This window comes from Homo sapiens, chromosome 1 (assembly GCF_000001405.40).
Source record: "Homo sapiens chromosome 1, GRCh38.p14 Primary Assembly".
Taxonomy (NCBI): domain Eukaryota; kingdom Metazoa; phylum Chordata; class Mammalia; order Primates; family Hominidae; genus Homo; species Homo sapiens.
Window position 1 is genome coordinate 166,952,062 of NC_000001.11, and position 17,980 is coordinate 166,970,041.

Here is a 17,980-nt window from a genome sequence, read left to right on the forward strand (position 1 = left end):
CAGATTGTACATCGAAAGACATAAGAACAAGGAGAGCTGCTTTTAGATTTTAAAATAACTTCCCTGTTTGAGCCTTCCTGAAATGGTGAAGTCCTTTGCCTGCCAGCTGGAGATGCCCCAGGGAACTTTATTCCTGTCCAAACAGTGGCGTGGTTCCAGATTATAAACAGCCTGTCCTTACCATGGATCCTAGACAAATTTCTAATCTTGGATGGCAGATTTCTAGACACTCCCATCTTCTGTGACTGCTGGTATGGCCCTATGATCCCAAATGACTGTCTAAATATTTCTAAGATACCTGTCACTGTCATCTTAAAGCACCAAAACACTATGCATTTCCATCTTCACAATGACTTTACCTTCTGAATCATCAAAAAGACATTAAAGGGTGTTCAGTATAGTTTTTGTGTTTAATGTTGAATCAGTGGTTGTCCTCCCATTTCTGTGAATCACATATCTTTGGATATTTCTGAAACCACTGAAAGAGCCATCCATAGCGATTTGTGGATGGTCAGATGTATAGGGTGGAAGGAGGGGTGAGTCATGCTCAGTGGGAAGGAATGCAATCTAGACAATAACAACTATGCCTTTGAAGTTAGAGCTTCGGTCAATGGTTGTGGGCAGTTTGACTAAGAAATAAAGTGAAATACTGAAGCAAACCTGGAACAAGTAACAAACATTACCCACGGCCTCAAGCAGTAACCACATTTTTTTTTTAACATAGCTTATTCTATAGCTTCTTCATACAGACAGGTCATGTGGTATTGTGGAAAGAGATAAGGCTAGGAATCAAAACACTTGAGTTTGATCGATGACACTTTTTTAACTAGGATATTAGGCATAAAACACAGACATCACTTTTTTCATTTGGAAAATAATACCTGCCCTCCTACAAGATTATTACAGAACAATTTTATAAACTACAACTTATTTTCAGTGTACATTAGTATTAGTGCTAGATGTAGTAATGGCATCCTCTGGTAGACACATATTGTTTTTTTGGCATCCCACATCTATTCTTCTTTTATGTAACAGTGTCTTAATTTACTTTGGAGAATTAATTCTTCTCTGTGTCTTGATAAAGTAACTATGAAGAGCCCCTGGTCTCAAAAGGCTAAGCAGGGGACAACTGACCAAAGTGGGTCAACAGGAACTTCACCTACCCTGCTTGCTAATAATTGTTCTGACCCTAAGATCTAATCCGATTCCTCTATTAAGATTTCTTCACTGGTTCTCCTAAGTCTTCAGAATCTAGTCCAAACTTCTTAGTCTTGCATATAAGATACTTCACAATCTTGCTCCATCAACTTTTCCATCCTTACCTTTCTGAGTATAATGAAGAAACCAAATTCTTCTTAACTTTGCCTCTAATTTACATCTTTAACCCATCTTTTCTTACTAATTAATCTTCTGTAATTTCAACCTGTTTTCTGCTCCCCATTTTGTGATCATCTCCAAGAAAAGCTACAGCAGTTGACTCTTTCAAGCCACCATCAATAGTTTTTTTCTTCACTCTTGAGGGATTAGTCCTCTTAGCCCTGACCTACTGCAAAAGACCACAGTTTATTCTTCTGGGTTCCTTGTGAATGAACATCAATCACCCTGCATGTTCTTGTAACCAATCTGTTACTTTGTTTTTCTCTGTCATGAGGATTGATTTCCTGGGAGATCATTTTCTTATTCATCAAGGGAGTCACATCAATCATGTTCATCTACTTTTTAAACCAAGAACTTTACAATAGAAATAAAGCTCAAAAGTAACTTAACTGAATACCTTTTCCTGTGCATAAGTACCTCCAGGGACATAGAACTCATTTCTGAGAATACTTATTCCATCTTTAGATGTCTCCAGTTGTTAATGTTAGATGTCTCCAGCTCTTCTTTTACAGTGAGATAGACTCCCTCCCTTTGTTACTTCCACTCCTGATTCCATTTTATCTAGCCAGACAGAGTATGTTTCCATTCTCTCTTCTATATAATTTCACTTCAAATATTTGGAGACACTTCTCATGCTCACTGTTCCAAGTCCACTTTTGCTAGACCAAATCCTCCAATCATTCCTCATATAAAATTCAATGACTGAGCCAGTGGTTCATGAACATTATAATTAGCAAACTGTGGGTCCCAGTTATCTTCTCACAGAGGTCTTCATCTCCTTAGAAATAAACTCAGAAATCAGCTTGCTCTCCTGGTCTCACATAAAAAGAATACTTAACAAATAGGCCAGCAGGATGAAATAATCCCAAAATAAGAAATTTTACAACTGTGATGGCATTTTGAAATATTGTATAAAGGGATGTGAAGACAAAAAAGACTCAGAATTTTGTATTTGGAAAGTAAATACAGTGCTTTATGGACTCAGAAAAATTTTTGTAGATTTCTAACTAACCCCTTTAAATAAGTAACACAGCTAGTGTTGCCCTAAAAAGTTTCCATGACAAATTTATCATGTTTTGAACATCTCTAATGTTGAACAAAACAGAATGATGTGTTTCTTCCCTACCAAGAGCCCTAGCATGTCTCTGTTTCATAGACAGGCTGCTTCTACTGCAACGAGTTTGGATTTGCAGCCTTGGTAAGTTTTCCTTTATGATTCCTTTAGAGTAATACTGATTTTTTTTCTTCATCTTTCCTCCCATAATTGGCGACTACTGTCATCTGAACTTCTGTTTTACTCACCTCTCTGCTGCTGGCCCTTTTTTTCCTTGAGAATAGCATTTTTGCCCAAGTTGCTTTGCATGTTTTGATCCAGAGGAATGCCCTTCATATACTTCAACACATCCTCAGATGACAAAGCTTTCACTCTATTTATTTCCCCATGTTTGCAGAACAACTGGGACCAAATTATTTAAAGTGGTTTTTACCTGGCCTCCTTTTCCTGCACAGGCAACTACTTCTCTGCAAATGGCTGCCCTGGCCAAATAACTATGTTCACAATTAGCTAATTGTGGGCTCAATGAGCCACTTGTTCCTTCAAACTTGGCTATTAGGGTTGTGATTAAGCAAAAATGTGTCTTTTTATTCCTTTTTGATTTATAGAGTCACAGCAGATCCCAGATCTGATCTCCCTATGTTCTTTACAATGTCAATATAAGCCTTTTACTTTTTCATTTCCTGCTGAATATCAGTCATATTTCCATTCTTTTACAAGTCACAAGTTACACTTTATATATTGGACCCAAAGACTTTGTTTGAATTAAGTCAACCTTCTAATAAGGCAGACCATTATCACCTTAATCCAATTTACAAAATATTATGAGGCTGGGTGGGCGAGGTGGCTCACACCTGTAATCCCAGCACTTTTGGGAGGCCAGGGTGGGCAGATCACTTGAGGACAGGAGTTGGATACCAGCCTGGCCAACATAGCAAAACCCTGTCTCTACTAAAAAATACAAAAACTTATCAGGGCATGGTGGTACACGCCTGTAGTCCCAGCTACTTGGAGGCACGAGAGTCACTTGAACCTGAGAGGCAGAGGTTGCAATGAGCTGAGATTGAGCCACTGCAATCCATCCTGGGCGACAGAGTGAGACTCTGTCTCAAAAATAAAATCAAATAAAATAATTTTTAAAAATAAAACAATAACAAAACATAATGCTAAGGCATCAGAATAGTTGTTTTGCCAAAGTCACACAATCATGATAAAGACTAAAACTAAAAATCCTAAATAACAACTGCCACTTTCTCCCTAGGGATTGAGTTTCTCTACAATTTTTATATAGGGTACAAATCTACCTTCAACCTCATTTACTTTTAATAGGAGGCACCCTTACAAATTACTCCAAATTGCTATCACCTGGTTTCTTGGAAGCTATAAAAATGTAATTTCTTTTGAAAATGGCTTTAGGTGTATATCCTGAACTACCTTTTTCCCTACAATTATGCAGTTTCTTTTCTTATTTCTGTATGTTCTAATTTTCTTGTTCAAACAACATTAATAGAGCACAAAATATGTGCTCAATTTTCAGTTTCATACAGAGGTCAGCTCCCACTGACATTCCTCCAATCCACAAAAAAGGAAAGTAGCCAAAAATAATGAGTTTTCATTTATGAGGAGATTAATATTAATAAGGATTAGATGTATTTGCTTTGAGCATAACTTGGACACTTTCAGGTTTCAAGATATCTGGCTTCCAATTAAACACTAGTACATCTCCCAAGCAGCTCTTTTTATTGGGCATCTTTTATTACCAAACTCTCTAGTTTACAGCTGTCTTTTCTTATGATTGTTTTAAGTGGAGATAATCCAGTGGGAAAAGATTCCTGATGTCTCCAGAGGTTCTGACACATCAGTGAATTCTTATCTGTGTAATCTCTACCTTGCTTCAAAGGCCTCTAGCATTTTCTTCAAAATTAGCATATAACAAGACAAAGAGAGAAATCAAGGTTAAAGGTGAAAGTAGAAAGGAGAGAAAAAAATGAAGAAAGCAGAAGAAATATTCAGGACAATGATAAAAGGTGGGGGCGGGGGGGTCATAGCTTTCAAGAAGTAAGACATAATAAGTACAGCTACTGCTCATAAAGAGCATATTCTAAAAGGGAGTGTGCATGAAAGATAAGACTGTGTATGCAACCTGCTAATGCACACAGGGGAGAAGTGAGAAGAGGGATAGGATACAGTGCAAGTGCAAGTGGTCTAAGATGAAAATGTCACCTGTTGTTTTCACTTACCCAACACCAGCAGTTCCACTGAGTCCTCATTTTTCCCCTCCAGGTCATCTGGGGTGGTGATAATACAGTAATAGAGTCCGCTGTCTCCCCACATAAGCTTTCCAATTTGAAGATCTGCATCTGTTATCACAAAAAGAAGGACTCAGTCCTAAAACTCTGTCCTCTGAAAGAAAAACACTAAACAATGGGGGTTGGGAAGGGAGAAACCTTCTGGGGTATCTGCAGTATTTTCTTTCTTTATCTGGATGGTGGTTGAAAGATGTGTGCTTTGCTTAAAACAAACAAACAAGACCAACAGAACCATAACAGAAACTAGCATCTCTAAGGAAGGACAATTAGAGCCTGTCAGAAACCAGTCTAGTTCTAGTGCAGTTTCAGGAGTAGGAGATGGCTTTGAACCAGGCCTGCAGAGGCCCCTAAGAGCCAGGAAAATGCCAGAATTATTCTGAACTCATGGAAATAAGCTAAAATCACAGGAGTTCTTCAAAATTCAAATAATCGAATAGATCATATCGGACTCTTGGGACCTTTTGAGGTCCAGAGCTTTAGAGAGCAAGAGAAAGGGTGGAATTGATGCAAAGCCACCTGGGGCTTGGGCCAAGCATCTACCTGGCTCTGTTATTTGTATGCATACGTCCCTTCTCCCAGCAAAAAAGTCTGCTTTCCACATTTGGGAAAGGACCCTAAAGGCTGATGTCAAGGTATAGGATGTTTGGCTGAAGAAGTTTTTCCCCTAAAACCCGTGTCAATTCAGCTCTAAAAACAAGCTCCTGAGGCTTGATGCTGGGCTCTGGAAAGACTCTTTCCAAAGTTCATCTGTATGTCTTCAGGAGATTTTACACGATCCACCCTTTTCCCCCTCACCATCCCGTTAGGGCAATGATAGGTCTCTTGATGCTCCCATTTCCAATAAAATAAAAGTCTTGAGGGTCTGAAAGGGTGAGAGGCTAGAATATCACCATATTGACATAAGGGAAGGGAAGAATGAAACTAACCTCCCTCCCATTTCCTAGATTCAAAATAGGGGCATTATTACCATGAACAATCGTGATCTCTCTGCCCCTGTAGAAATCTCCCAGGGTGACAGTCGAGCCCTGTTTTGAAGCTACTACTCGAACAGTCCTCCTGCTGTCCAAACAATCCAAGTAGGGGTCCCATTCCAGGTTTCTCTTGCTGAGAGATTGGGCCCGGGTAGAGGACATGCCCAAGGATTCTCCCATGCGATCCTGGCAGTAGGACTTGAACTTCCACTGCACAACTGCAGGCTGATGGGAGGATGTTGAGAAGTGGCAGCGAAGCACAGTGGGCTGGAAGAGCATGGCCACCTTCTTCTTGTCGGGCACTGTGACCTGAAGGCCTTCGACCATGGCTGCAAAACAGAATAAACATGTCCGAACAGTGTCCATATCCTGGACCTCACCTTCCATCACATGATCACACCTTTCCATTTCACTTCCCTAACTTGTGTCCCCTCAACCTCATTTTCACAATTATAATTAATGGCATTAATATCCATCTGGTTGCTTTGTGCAGAAATATGCCCTCTAATACAGTTTGGATTTGTGTCCCTGCCCAAATCTCACATCAAATTGGAAGAGTGGCCTGATGGGAGGTCACTGGATTATGGGGGTGGGTTTCCCCTGTGCTGTTCTCGTGGTAGGGAGTGAGTTCTCACGAGATCTGATGGTTTAAAAGTGTGTGGTACTTCCCCCTTCACTCTCTTTCTCTCCTGCTGCCATGTGAAGAAGGTGCTTGTTTCCCCTTTGCCTTCCACCATGATTGTAAGTTTCCTGAGTCTTCTCAGTCATGCCTCCTGTTAAACCTGTGGAACTGTGAGTCAATTAAACCTCCTTTCTTCACAAATTACCCAGTCTCAGACAGTTCTTTATAGCAGTGTGAGAGCGGACCAATACAACCTCACTCCCTATATCCAGTCACGCATTAAGTCACATCAACTTAATCTCTTAACATCTTTAATATTTCTTCCCTCCTCTTTAACCCCATTACTATTGCCTTTCCTTAGACTCTCTTCATTTCCTCCTCAAAATATTACAATAATCTTTTGTTTGGTCTCCCTGCCTTTAATCTGTCAACATCCAGTACACTCTTCTTGCTACAGTTCAGATGATCTTTCTAAACTGATTGTTATGGCTCTCTTTCTTAAGACCCTTCACTCATCCTCCATAGCCCTCAGGATAAAACCCAAAGTCCTTGGCAAGGTACTCCGTCATCTAGTTCCTCTTACCGCCTCAGCCTCACCTCTCACCTCTTGAAACACCTCTCTTTGAGCACCAAGCTCCAAGAATATCAAACAACTAATAGCTTCCCCAGTGGGATATCCTGTTTCATGCCTCCAGGTCTTTGCACATGATGTCTCCTGTTTCTGGGATGCTTTTTCCTCACTTCTTTGCTTGGGCAACTTTTTGCATCTTTTAAAACCCAGTTCAAGGGCTTCTTGTAAAGCCTTCTCTGACCAATAAGTTTATCACTTCCTCCTTTGTGCTATCAGTACACCCAGCATTTTCTTCTAAACATTTACTCTCACAGTCTTCCGAGTACTTCTTTTCATGCCTGTCAGGCCTGTCAGACTCGTCAGGTGTGGAAGGTATCTTCCCTTGCTGCCCTGGCTTGTGAAGCCCATAGGTACTCAACAAATATTTGATAAATAATGACAATGAAGCCAGGAAGTATCACTTCAGGAGGAAGTGACTTCCCTTCCAGTGGTGACCCAGCAAAGGGGACAGAGATGAAAAGGAAAATAAGTCTTTGAGAGAAATGGAGGATTTCAGATCAAATGCAGTAGACTAAGTTCAAAGCTTTGAAGGATAATCAAAAGAAGGAAAAAAAGTGGGGGCTAAAAAGCAGATGAGAAGTTTAAGTGGTAAAAAGATCCAACCTGATGCTTGGTGACCAAGAAAGAATGAGAAATTTCAGTGAATGAGAGACGAGGGGAGTGTTTGAGAAGCAAAGGTCCCACATGAACTCAATGATAAGATCTAGAAATTCCAAGCAAAGGGAACATAACTTTCTCAGTTGAATGGGAGAGTCAAGAGTTTCTAGCTTGATGTGAGGTTAGAAGCAGAAATAGAAATATGATGAGAGGCAGAAAAAACGAATATGAAGATATGATAAAGAAGTTCCAAATTGAATCCAGGAGACTGCTAAGTCAGCTTCAAGTAGCTTGGGGCAGAGACATGCAAAAAAGGACTACTTTCCATGGAGTCCTGTCCTTTATTAGTGCCAGTGTTCACAATGACATCCTGCAAAGCCAATTCACTCCCACAGCTAAAGCATAAACTTATTTATGAATATGCCTCTTTACTGAAGGACCCTTGACAAGGGCAAGATACATGTTTGTACTCATATCTTCTGACATCCAGACCAATGTCTCTATTCAATGAAAGGAACAATGAAAAAGTAGGTCCTAATTCCTGTTGGGGAAAAGGGTTTCTGCATTCTGTAACATCTGGAAGCGAATACAACAGAGTATTTGAGATTTATCAAATCTCAAAGCATTTTGGACCTACCCTGTGCTCAATAGCTACCTACAGAATAAATGAAGAAATGTATGAGCAAGTGAATGGCTATTAATATGGGAATTTCTAGGACTTTGCAGATGAAACTAGTTAAATGAGTCAGAAGTGTAGTAAAATAGTGTTGGCATCAAATAGGAATGGCTTTGAATCTCATCTGACCATACACTAATGATGGTTTCTTAAGCAATCTGAGACTCATTTTCCTCACCTATAGAATGAGCACCATAATGCTTACTCTCAGAGTTGTTAACAAACATTCTTTCATTGGGCACCTTCAGAGAGGAGACTCAGTAGAAGAGCACTGTGACCGGTAAAGAGTAGGTCTCAAATGCTAATTCTCCCTCACCTTGCCAAACTTTCCCCTCACCTCCCATCCTGAATCTTGATAACCATACATCACCACCAGGCTTGATTACATCCAGATTATGTAGATCAGCCCCATCAAAAGGCAAACAATTCCATCTGGAAGCTCATTGAAGAACCCTAGTTCCCATGCTTCCCTTCACCACCACTAAATGTTGATGTGGCTAATTCCATTCTCCCTCACTTATGAAGCTAGATTAGGAAAATAAATTTCTTTATAGTTTCTCCTTAAATTCTAGCGCATTAATTTTTTAACCTTGTAATTATTCTTCAAATAGTTACACCTCAATTTTTCAGGTAATAAGAATGGGACAAGAGAGGTGAAATGACTTCAATTAGCAGTGGTTGAGGCTGGATAACCACTCACAGGCACCATTCCCATACAAGGCTGTGTGCTTGACCACACCCCTTTTCTGCTCCACTGCTATTCTGGCACTGCTTGGGAAATCACATTTCTTAGCCTTTCTTTTTTTCTTCTTTCCAACTTTTGTTTTAGGTTCAAGGAGTACATGTGCAGGTCTGTTACATGGGTAAATTGTGTGTTGCAGTGGTTTGGTGTACAGACCATTTCATCACCCAGGTGGGTGCTCTACAAAAGTGTAGTGAGATTTATTTATTTTTTTAGAGAGGAAGTTTGGGGTTTTGTTCATTAGATAATTACTAAGAATAGCCTCCTTCCAAGCTCTGTTCTCTGTTAATGAGATTAGCCACTTGAGCAAGCCACTGGACTCTCTTAATCAATTATTAATAGAGGTTGGTCAATTCTCAGCTTCTATGACATAAACATAAACTCATGCTCCAAAAAAATAAAAATAAAAAATACATTCTCAGAAACATCTGCCTTTTTATAGCATGATACTTAAAGGCATGGATTTTGCAGTCAGTCCTAAGTAAGAATCCAGGTTCTACATGACCTCAAGCAAACTACTCAACTCTGATGAGTTTCAGTTTCCTCGCTGGCAAAACCAGAATAATAGTAACTACCTTATGGAGTTGTTTGAGGGTTAAGTAAGATTGTATCCTAAGTATTTAGAATAATACCTGGTATACAGTGAGCATTCAATAAATGTAGTTGCTAATGTTGCTGAGGCTATCAAGAGCAGTCTGATGACTTCTGTGAAGCTACAAACCTAGAGCTACGCAAGTACAGAGATCAAGGTGTCAGATGCCGAGTGTGTACAGGGCAAAAACTGCACAAGAATGCTAGAATACATCATTAGGAGTTCAATAGTGACAGTGCCTGGGTATGCTCCTCACTGCACATCACTTATGCACCTCCTGGAACTCAGAAGTAGAGAGTAACCCTGCACGTGTATGCACACATGCATACACATGTATACATGTACAGGCACAATGGGACTCTAAGCTAAAGGTAGATCTGGAGAAGACAGGACTAGAATTCCAAGTAAATGTGAGTTTATTGGATCTTTGAGAACCACAGAGTGAAGTGTTGGAGATAAAAGTAAAAATGCCAATCCCTGCTTCCACACTACAGGTTTCAAACTGTTAGATGAATGCCATCCAGTCCCCAAACTGCCCTGACCAAGTTTATCGGGACCCCCATTCCCACTGGAGGGTAGGGTCTAGAATTGCTCTTCTGGCCCTAACCCTGGATCCCTGGTGTCTAGGTGTCCTATACAACTGGGCAGCATCTCTTTCTCTCAACCTGTGTTTACCTTATTTAGAGACTGTTTTTCCACCTTGGTATCCTGATTTGCAATCCAGTTGCTCCACTGGGTCTGAGAACCCTTGCCCTGAACTCTGGCCTGCTTGTCTGGGGCCCTAATACCAGCCCCTTCTCCTGAGGGTTGGGTATTGTTTCCTATACCTTCATGCATGGCTGATCCAAATCTGAAACTGTGATGCTGCCATCCATCCAACTTCAAAAAATACCTCTCATGGGACCCACATAGATCAGGCCCCTCAGAACTGGTAGCTAATTTGGGTGGGGACTAGGATTGCCAGTCTCCTGTGGACACTGAAGTTTGACCTGGAGATACCCTCTCTCTGGCTCCCATTCCCGAGAGGTCTGCCCTGGGAGTAGGGGAGTATCCTGAGCTGGGGTCCTACCTCTTAGAGTTTTGTTTTCGTTTTTCAATTTTCCTACTTGTCAGATGCCAAAAACCAGGTACCAAGAACAAGTACTTCTTATGCTGGAGTCTATACAGGCTAATAAGAATATGTAACTATACATTTGAATTCCAGATAAATTAAACATTTTCAGCCTCTTTGTAGTGATAAGCTGTGCATTTGATCTAAGAAATCTGATTTACTCCCAAGGCTCCAACTACCAGTTATGTCTCACACCCCCAACTCCCTTAAGCCTCATCTGCATATTTAACAAACACTTTAAATTAAACATGTCTAAACCTCATTCATCGTCTCCTCTTTTCCCACCCTAGCTCTTTTTTTATAAACTCATCCTTTCTCTATCCCTTGCTCTTTTGCCAAAATACCACTTAATCTATTGCCCTAGATAGAAATCTTAGTTTTGATAATTTCCTCTCTGTCCCTGACCACATTCAGTTGGTCGCTAAGTCTAAATATCTCTCAACTTTGATCTTTCTCTATTCCCACTGTCACTCCCTTAAATCAAGTTTCTATTTCTGCTACTAGAAAATAGCTGTAAAATGCTTACTGTGTGTCAGGGATTGTGCTAAGCACTTTTCATGTAGTATCCTAATGAATTCTCTCAAAATCCTATAAAGTAGGCATTGTTATTACACCTGTTTTATAGACGAAGAGACTGATGCTCAGATAATGTATGTATGTATGTATCTTGCCTAACATTTCAAGGTTAGCAGGTGACAGTTTAGGTTTGAACCTAGACTGACTGGCTCCAAAGATCTTCACCATCATTTCACACAGGTCCTCACCACCACCTGGGTTTGAGAATAGCCAACTAAATGGTCTTCCTACTTCCAACCCAATCCACTCTCCATATTTTTCTAGAATACCGTTTTTAAAACACACATCAATCATGTCAGTTCCTGCTTTAAGGCCTCCATCGATTCCCCATTCCCTCCAGGACAAAATTGAAATACCCCAACATGGCATATAAAACTTTCTCCTTGACATGGCCCCCAGTATGCTCCAGCCATACTGAAATATTTCCAACCCTTTGACTATAAGTATGTTATCCCCTCCTCCTGGGCAAATATCAGGCCATGTAACTGAAGGAGTTCCTGGGAGGCAGACATAGAGAAGCACTGAAAAAGGGTCTTGCCCACACGTAAACAAGCACACGCTGGTACAACAGGAAGGCTGGGCCTCCAAGTCCAGGCACTGGTAACACCATATGGGACTTGAGTTTCAAACTCCTATAAAGAAATTTACAGAGGTGCAGAAAGAACCTGTGCTTCACCCTATAAACTAAAGCAGGTATTCTGGAAAACTAGAGAGAGGCACCTTAGGAGAGAGAGCAAGAGAGGAAAAGAAGTGAAGCAAGGTAAAGAATTATACTGGAGAGAGTATACCTGTAAAAATTAGACCTTCTAAATCTAAAAATAAAAAAAAAAAAAAATTTAAGAATTCCTCACTAAAAGAAGCACTAGAATTGAAGACCACAGGTGGTTTTCTGCTTTGCAGAGGAGGGAGTCATCATTCTTAGACCACCAGACTATTCTTTTAACTGTTTTGGTGCCCTGACCTCCAGGAAAACCACCCTTGACTATCTAATTTTAATTCGACCAAAAATGTATTTTGAAACACTACGCTAAGTTCTGGCAAAACAGATTTAAAAGACCAGTCCCTCATCTTGAGAAATTCAATATAAAGTTCATTTCTAACTATAAGGTCCCTGAGGGCAGGGGCCAGGATTTGGTTGACTTTGTATCCCTAGTATACAGCAAAGGCAAAGAATATAGGTGAAGCTAAAAAATGTGGAATGAATTAATGAATGAATGAAAACCGAACCTGTGAGTCTGAGGGGCCTTTCTTAGCAGGTGGTCCCCAGCTCAGAGAATGGATTCTGGCCAATAACTAGGAAACCTGCCTAAAGGTAGAGTGAAGAGTGACAGCTCTTCTCCCCCATCTCAGCCCCCATCTCAGCTAATCTCCAGGTGTAGGTACCTCGTCACCAGTCACCAGGCTAGGGAAGATCAGCTTCAAGTGCAGACAATGTCTCGCTGCATGTGCAAAAAAAGGTCCTGCCCCAATTCTCATGTAAAGAAAAAGATTCTATATATGATGAACTGTGTTCTTGCAAGAATAACAAACACAGACTCTAAGGCAATGCTATTCTTATTTTTAGCACTTTCATTTTTTTCAAAGCAAGTTCCTTTCCCCCACTAGTTGTAAGCTATTCCTGCCAGCATCTTTGGGAGGCAGATCTATAAGCATAGCCCCATTTTAGAGAAACAAAGATTGCTGCTAAAGGTCATGGAAAATTATCATCATTAGAGACAGGCATCTTTAGAAATATTGTATAATGCTCACCCACCCCTTAACTCTTTGAGTACCAAAAGCAGGATTTGACCTCAGAATTGCCCATTCCTCAGCATACCTTGGCCTTCAGATTCTTTCTTCATTCAGTATAACAATATAGTTTGAGTATCCCTTATCTGAAATGCTTGGGACCAGTAGTGTTTCAGATTTCAGATTTTTTTGGATTTTGCAATATTTGCATACATATGAAGAGGTATCTTGGGGATGGGACCCAAATCTAAACAGAAAATTCATTTATGTTTCATATATACTTTATACACATAGCCTGAGGGTAATTTTATATAATATTTTTAATAATTTTGTATATGAAACAAAGTTTGTGTACATTGAACAATCAGAAAGCAAATATATCAGGTACAGAATTTTCCACTTTTGGCATTATGTAGGCACCCGTAAAGTTTCATATTTTGGAGCATTTTGGATTTCAAATTTTCAGATTAGCAATGCCCAACCTGTACAAATCTTTCTTTGCCTGCCTTCAAGTTAGGTTTTGTTTTTTTTTTTGTTTTTTTTTTGACAGGGTCTCTCTCTGTCACCCAGGCTGGAGTGCAGTGGCACCACCTTGGCTCACTGCAACCTCTGTCTCCTGGGTTCAAGTGTTTCTCCTGCATCAGCCTCCCACGTAGCTGGGACTACAGGTGCGTGCCACCATGCCCAGCTAATTTTTTTTTTTTTTTAGTAGAGGTGGGGTTTCACCATGTTGGCCAAGCTGGTCAACTTAGGTATTCTTTAAGACATTCATCTTTTGTTTTTACAGTTTTAACATGTTGTCCCAATTTCCTAAGATACTTTTTAGGAACAACCAATGGGCAGGTTTTTTAAGTGTAGGAGATGAATAGGGAGATGAGTAAACATCTCCTCTGAGTTTGGTCATAATTCAGACAAGGAAAGAAAGCTTGTTCAGCCCTTAGTAGCATTGTCGGGATGAGAATAAAACATTTTGGGAAATATTTAAAGACAAGGCTAAAAGTATAAAGACAAAGAAGATGCAGCTTGAATCTTTTTTTCTTCTCGAAATAGGAACTATTCATCGCCTTGATAAACTTGTGTTAAAAAAAAACCTAAAAAACTAAAATAAAAAGGCTTTACCAAGAATAGTAGACATTGCCTTGGAATCTGCCTATTTTCTGAGCCTCATTCTCCAGCTTTGCCAATGATTCTGTGAGTTAATCAACTTCTTTCCAATAAAGTCCTTTCCTGCTTAATTTGGCCAGAATCAGTTTCTTGTTGTTACCATGATATACCTGATTGCTCAATCCACTTTAGGATTAGGGTAACCAGATGTACCATCTTGAAATTTTTAAAAACATGATAGTGTTTTCGTATGTTTTCCCCCCAAGAGTCTCAAAAGCAGCAATATGTCACTCTTTTCCAAAGAGCCATGGTAAATACCAGTGCTGCCACTGCCCAGGTGGATTTTTGCTCATGGCATAGTTATTATTTGCTGCCAATAACTCTGGTGTTTGTTTACACAAATCTTGCTATTCATCAAGCATATTTTCTCTGTGTCCAAGTGTGCCATCCTTTCTTGTACTCTGCCATCACTGCGTAGGTAAAAGCTAGAAACATTTTCTTTCTGTCTCATTTGCCTCATCTTCCACAGATCTGAAATGAGTTCATAGGTGTTGTCTAGCTGGCTTACACGCAGTTCCAATGGGACAAAGCAGTGCTAAAAGAGGTCAGTCTTTACCCTGCAATGTGGAGGTACTTTGAAAACTGTCTTGGTTTCCAAGTGGGTCAGACTTCTGGGATGGAACAGCCACTTAGACAGGAAAAAACTCCTCTAACAAAGCTCTTATCAGCCTTTACCAACTTGTTATCTGTATCTCCTGTCTAGATCTCTTTCCTAAGCTCCAGAATCAAATATACAACTTCACTGTCTATCAGGATGTTATGCAAGCACCTCAAACTCATCCATCTGTAGATGGAGACACTAACCATCTCCTTCTTCCTTTCAGTAATAGAAATTCCCAGGTTTAATTTGGCCAGCCAAGTAGTATATATTTCCTAGCCTCTCTTTTAGCTAAGTGTGGCCATGTGACTAGGCTCAGGACAAAGGTATGTTAGGAGAAGCGATGTGTGTAACGTCTGGGCCACTTCTCTCAAAACAAGTGGCTTGCCCTGGAACTCTGCTTTTCTTGCCCCTTCCTGCTGAGAAATGGCTATGAGCAGTCTCGGAAGCTGCATGTTGGAAACGGTAGGCTTATCCCCACAGATTTGGACTCTTACAGGAGAGAGAAATACACTCTTTTGTGTGGGTTACAATATTTTAGGATTTCTTAGTTATAGCAGCTTAGGCTATACTTTAAATGGGAAGGAAGGACAGTAGGAAGGTAGAAACGGAGGGGGAAGGGAGGGAGGGGAAACTTCATCTTCTTTCCTTAACATATTTCTCCTGGCTGGATGCGGTGGCTCACACCTATAATCCCAGCACTTTGGGAGGCCGAGGCAGGCAGATTGTTTCAGGCTAGGAGTTCGATACCAGCCTGGCCAACATGGCGAAACCCTGTCTCTACTAAAAATACAAAAATTAGCCGAGCATGGTGATGTGTGCCTGTAGTCCCAGCTTCTTGGGAGGCTGAGGTACAAGAACTGCTTGATCTGGGAGGCAGAGGCTGCAGTGAGCTGAGATCATGCCACTGCACTCCAGCCTGGGTGACAGAGTGGGACTCTGTCTCAAAACAAAACAAAACAAAACACATTTCTCCTCTTGTGTTAGTTCATGTTGATGAATGGCATCTCCAGCAGTCCCCAGCCAGAAACTTGGAGGCACTTTGACACTCTCTCCCCTTCAACCACCACATCCATCTAAGTCAGTCCTATGTGCTCCACCTCTGGTCACTCTGTCCAATTCTCTCATCCTCACTGTGCCATGTGAGTTGAGGATCTCATTGTGTCTCGCCATGCTTTCTGCAAGTGTCCCCTAGTTGATTTCTGCTACAAGCCTTGTCCATGTCTAATCTACTCTCCACACTGAGGCTCACATGATATTTCTAAAATGCACATCTGATTGTGCCACTGTCTTGCTCTCATTCTTAAAATATTCCCTCTAGCCTTCAGGAGCACAAAAGCTCCTTTCAGATGGGGCCATTACCTTCCATTCTTCCTACAGTACTAAATACTCTAACCATACTAAAGTATTTCAGTTTTCAGAAAACATCATGCCCTCCCCTGATTCTTGGCCTTTGCACAGGCTGTTCTCTCTGCAGATTCTCCTTCCCCCATCCCACTCTTCTCTGGCCAACTCCTACTTATCCTTCAGGACTTGCTCAGCTATCACTGCCTCTAGAAGCTTCTTCCTGTTCTTACAGCAGTCACAGTACCCCAAAGAATCACATCACTTTCCCTGAGAATTTCTTATTTAACCATCTATCTCCCCCACTAATAAAAAGCTCCCTCTGCAGACTTCTAAAGACTGATACATGGTAAGTACTCCATACATGTGTTGAATAATTTAACCCAGTTGACAGATTATAGTATTTATTCCCAATGATTTGTTTCCTTCCCATCCTTGCATTGGTCCCTGTAGGCAGAGTATACTTACCCCGTAGACTTAAGCTTGGCCACATGACTTGCTTTGGTCAATGGGTTGTGAGCAGATGTGCCATAGATATGGCCAAGCAGAAGCTTTAAAGGCATTTGTGTGGTTTGGCTCTGCCCTTGCCCTGACCCCCTTGAGCATTTGCCCTCCACTGTGAGAACAAAATGCTCAGATAGTGGCTGCTCCTTCATCCTGGGTCTTAGAGTAAGAAGAGAATTGGAATTGAGCCAACCCCATCAAACCTAGCCAATCCATAGCTACCCACAGCTGACTACAGGTCTCATATAATATGAGCAAGAACTAAGTGTATGTTGTAAGCTATTGAGATTTGGGCGCTGCTTGTTTCTGCATCAAAATACTGACAAATACATCTAGTTTGGGTTCATAATCAGTATTGAGGGCCTACTGTGTGCCAAACATTGTGCTAGAAGTTTTATATAATTTAATTTTAATTATCACAACAACCCTATAAGGTAGGTTAGCTTTCCATTATTAAAGCAACAACAACAACAAAAAAAGACAAAATCCTAAGCTGGCATCAAATCCAGGTCAGTTTGAGCCTCACCATCCCCCCTACACGCTGCCTCCTGGTGAGGCAAGGGCATGGAAGGAGTGATGATACAGGGTCTCAGCTGAATGCAAGGGCCCTACTCCTTATTCAGCACCACTTTCTGTAGGGTTCCACATGCTGAAGGAGAATAGAGGAAGCGGCATGTTCTTCTGAGTTCTTCCTTGTTCCTTGGCCTGTAAAGAACTCTAGTCATCCAAAACACTTTCTTTCATTTTCAGAAAGCCAAAAACTATCTTGAAGACTGAGACTTTAAGCATGCATATGCTGTAGCTACATCCTGTGTGGCTCCTGAGAGCACAGCAGCAGCCCCTAGTCCCAGATGGGCTCTGATGTGCCATCAGTTTCTGCTCTGTCACTGGGGCACATCCTCTGTTCTCACGTGCTTTGCTGGAGTCCTCTTCATTCGCTCCTTTCCCACTAGATCTTAGGATTTCATTACGAAAAACTAACTGCCATTCTTTCTCACTTTTCTTGCACTATTTCCCTGAGTTCTATGAACTCTGTGCCTCAATATCCAATGCCCCATAATAGACACCATGTATGTTCACCTAAATCAGGAGTTACAGTTTGATCTACCTTAACCAGAAAAGAATGTTTCCCTGAATTCAGGCACTTCAAATAACCAAGTCATATTAAGGCAGTGACATTATTTCTTATTCTTTTAACCAGTAAGATATCATGGGCTTGGACAAGTCATTTATTTCCTCTGAGCCTTGGTCTTCTTAAGTGTAGGTAGGCAATACCAGCCTTACTTACTTGGCAAGATCAAATGGGATAATGTCTATGAAAGCCATTTAACACATAGAAAAGCATCATAGCATGTAAATAAGTGAGAAAAACATCGGGAGAAAG

The 17,980-nt window shown here is 40.8% G+C and overlaps 1 protein-coding gene and 1 long non-coding RNA gene across 17 annotated transcripts in view, besides 1 other annotated feature; one reads left to right on the plus strand and one right to left on the minus strand.

Moving 5' to 3' along the window:
• ILDR2 (immunoglobulin like domain containing receptor 2) overlaps window positions 1-17,980 on the minus strand; it is a 79,845-nt gene that overhangs the window by 56,366 nt on the left and 5,499 nt on the right. For all 15 annotated transcript variants that reach the window (NR_199384.1, NR_199383.1, NM_001438641.1 and 12 more), the window contains exons 2-3: window positions 5,708-6,040; window positions 4,672-4,791 (exon numbers count right to left, since the gene is read on the minus strand). Coding sequence is in view for 13 of the 15 variants with exons in the window: in NM_001438641.1 (NP_001425570.1) it covers window positions 4,672-4,791; window positions 5,708-6,040 (453 nt within the window). In the remaining 2 variants the exon portion in view is untranslated. The remainder of the gene's footprint in view (window positions 1-4,671; window positions 4,792-5,707; window positions 6,041-17,980) is intronic.
• LOC124904449 (uncharacterized) overlaps window positions 1-17,980 on the plus strand; it is a 45,878-nt gene that overhangs the window by 24,891 nt on the left and 3,007 nt on the right. The gene's annotated exons all lie outside the window — the stretch shown is intronic.
• Window positions 17,090-17,219: an enhancer, noted in NCBI's record as "active region_2029". NCBI's record gives its function as "activates an Ori minimal core promoter by ATAC-STARR-seq in GM12878 lymphoblastoid cells {active_cell/tissue: GM12878}" and the evidence as "EXISTENCE:reporter gene assay evidence [ECO:0000049][PMID:35858748]".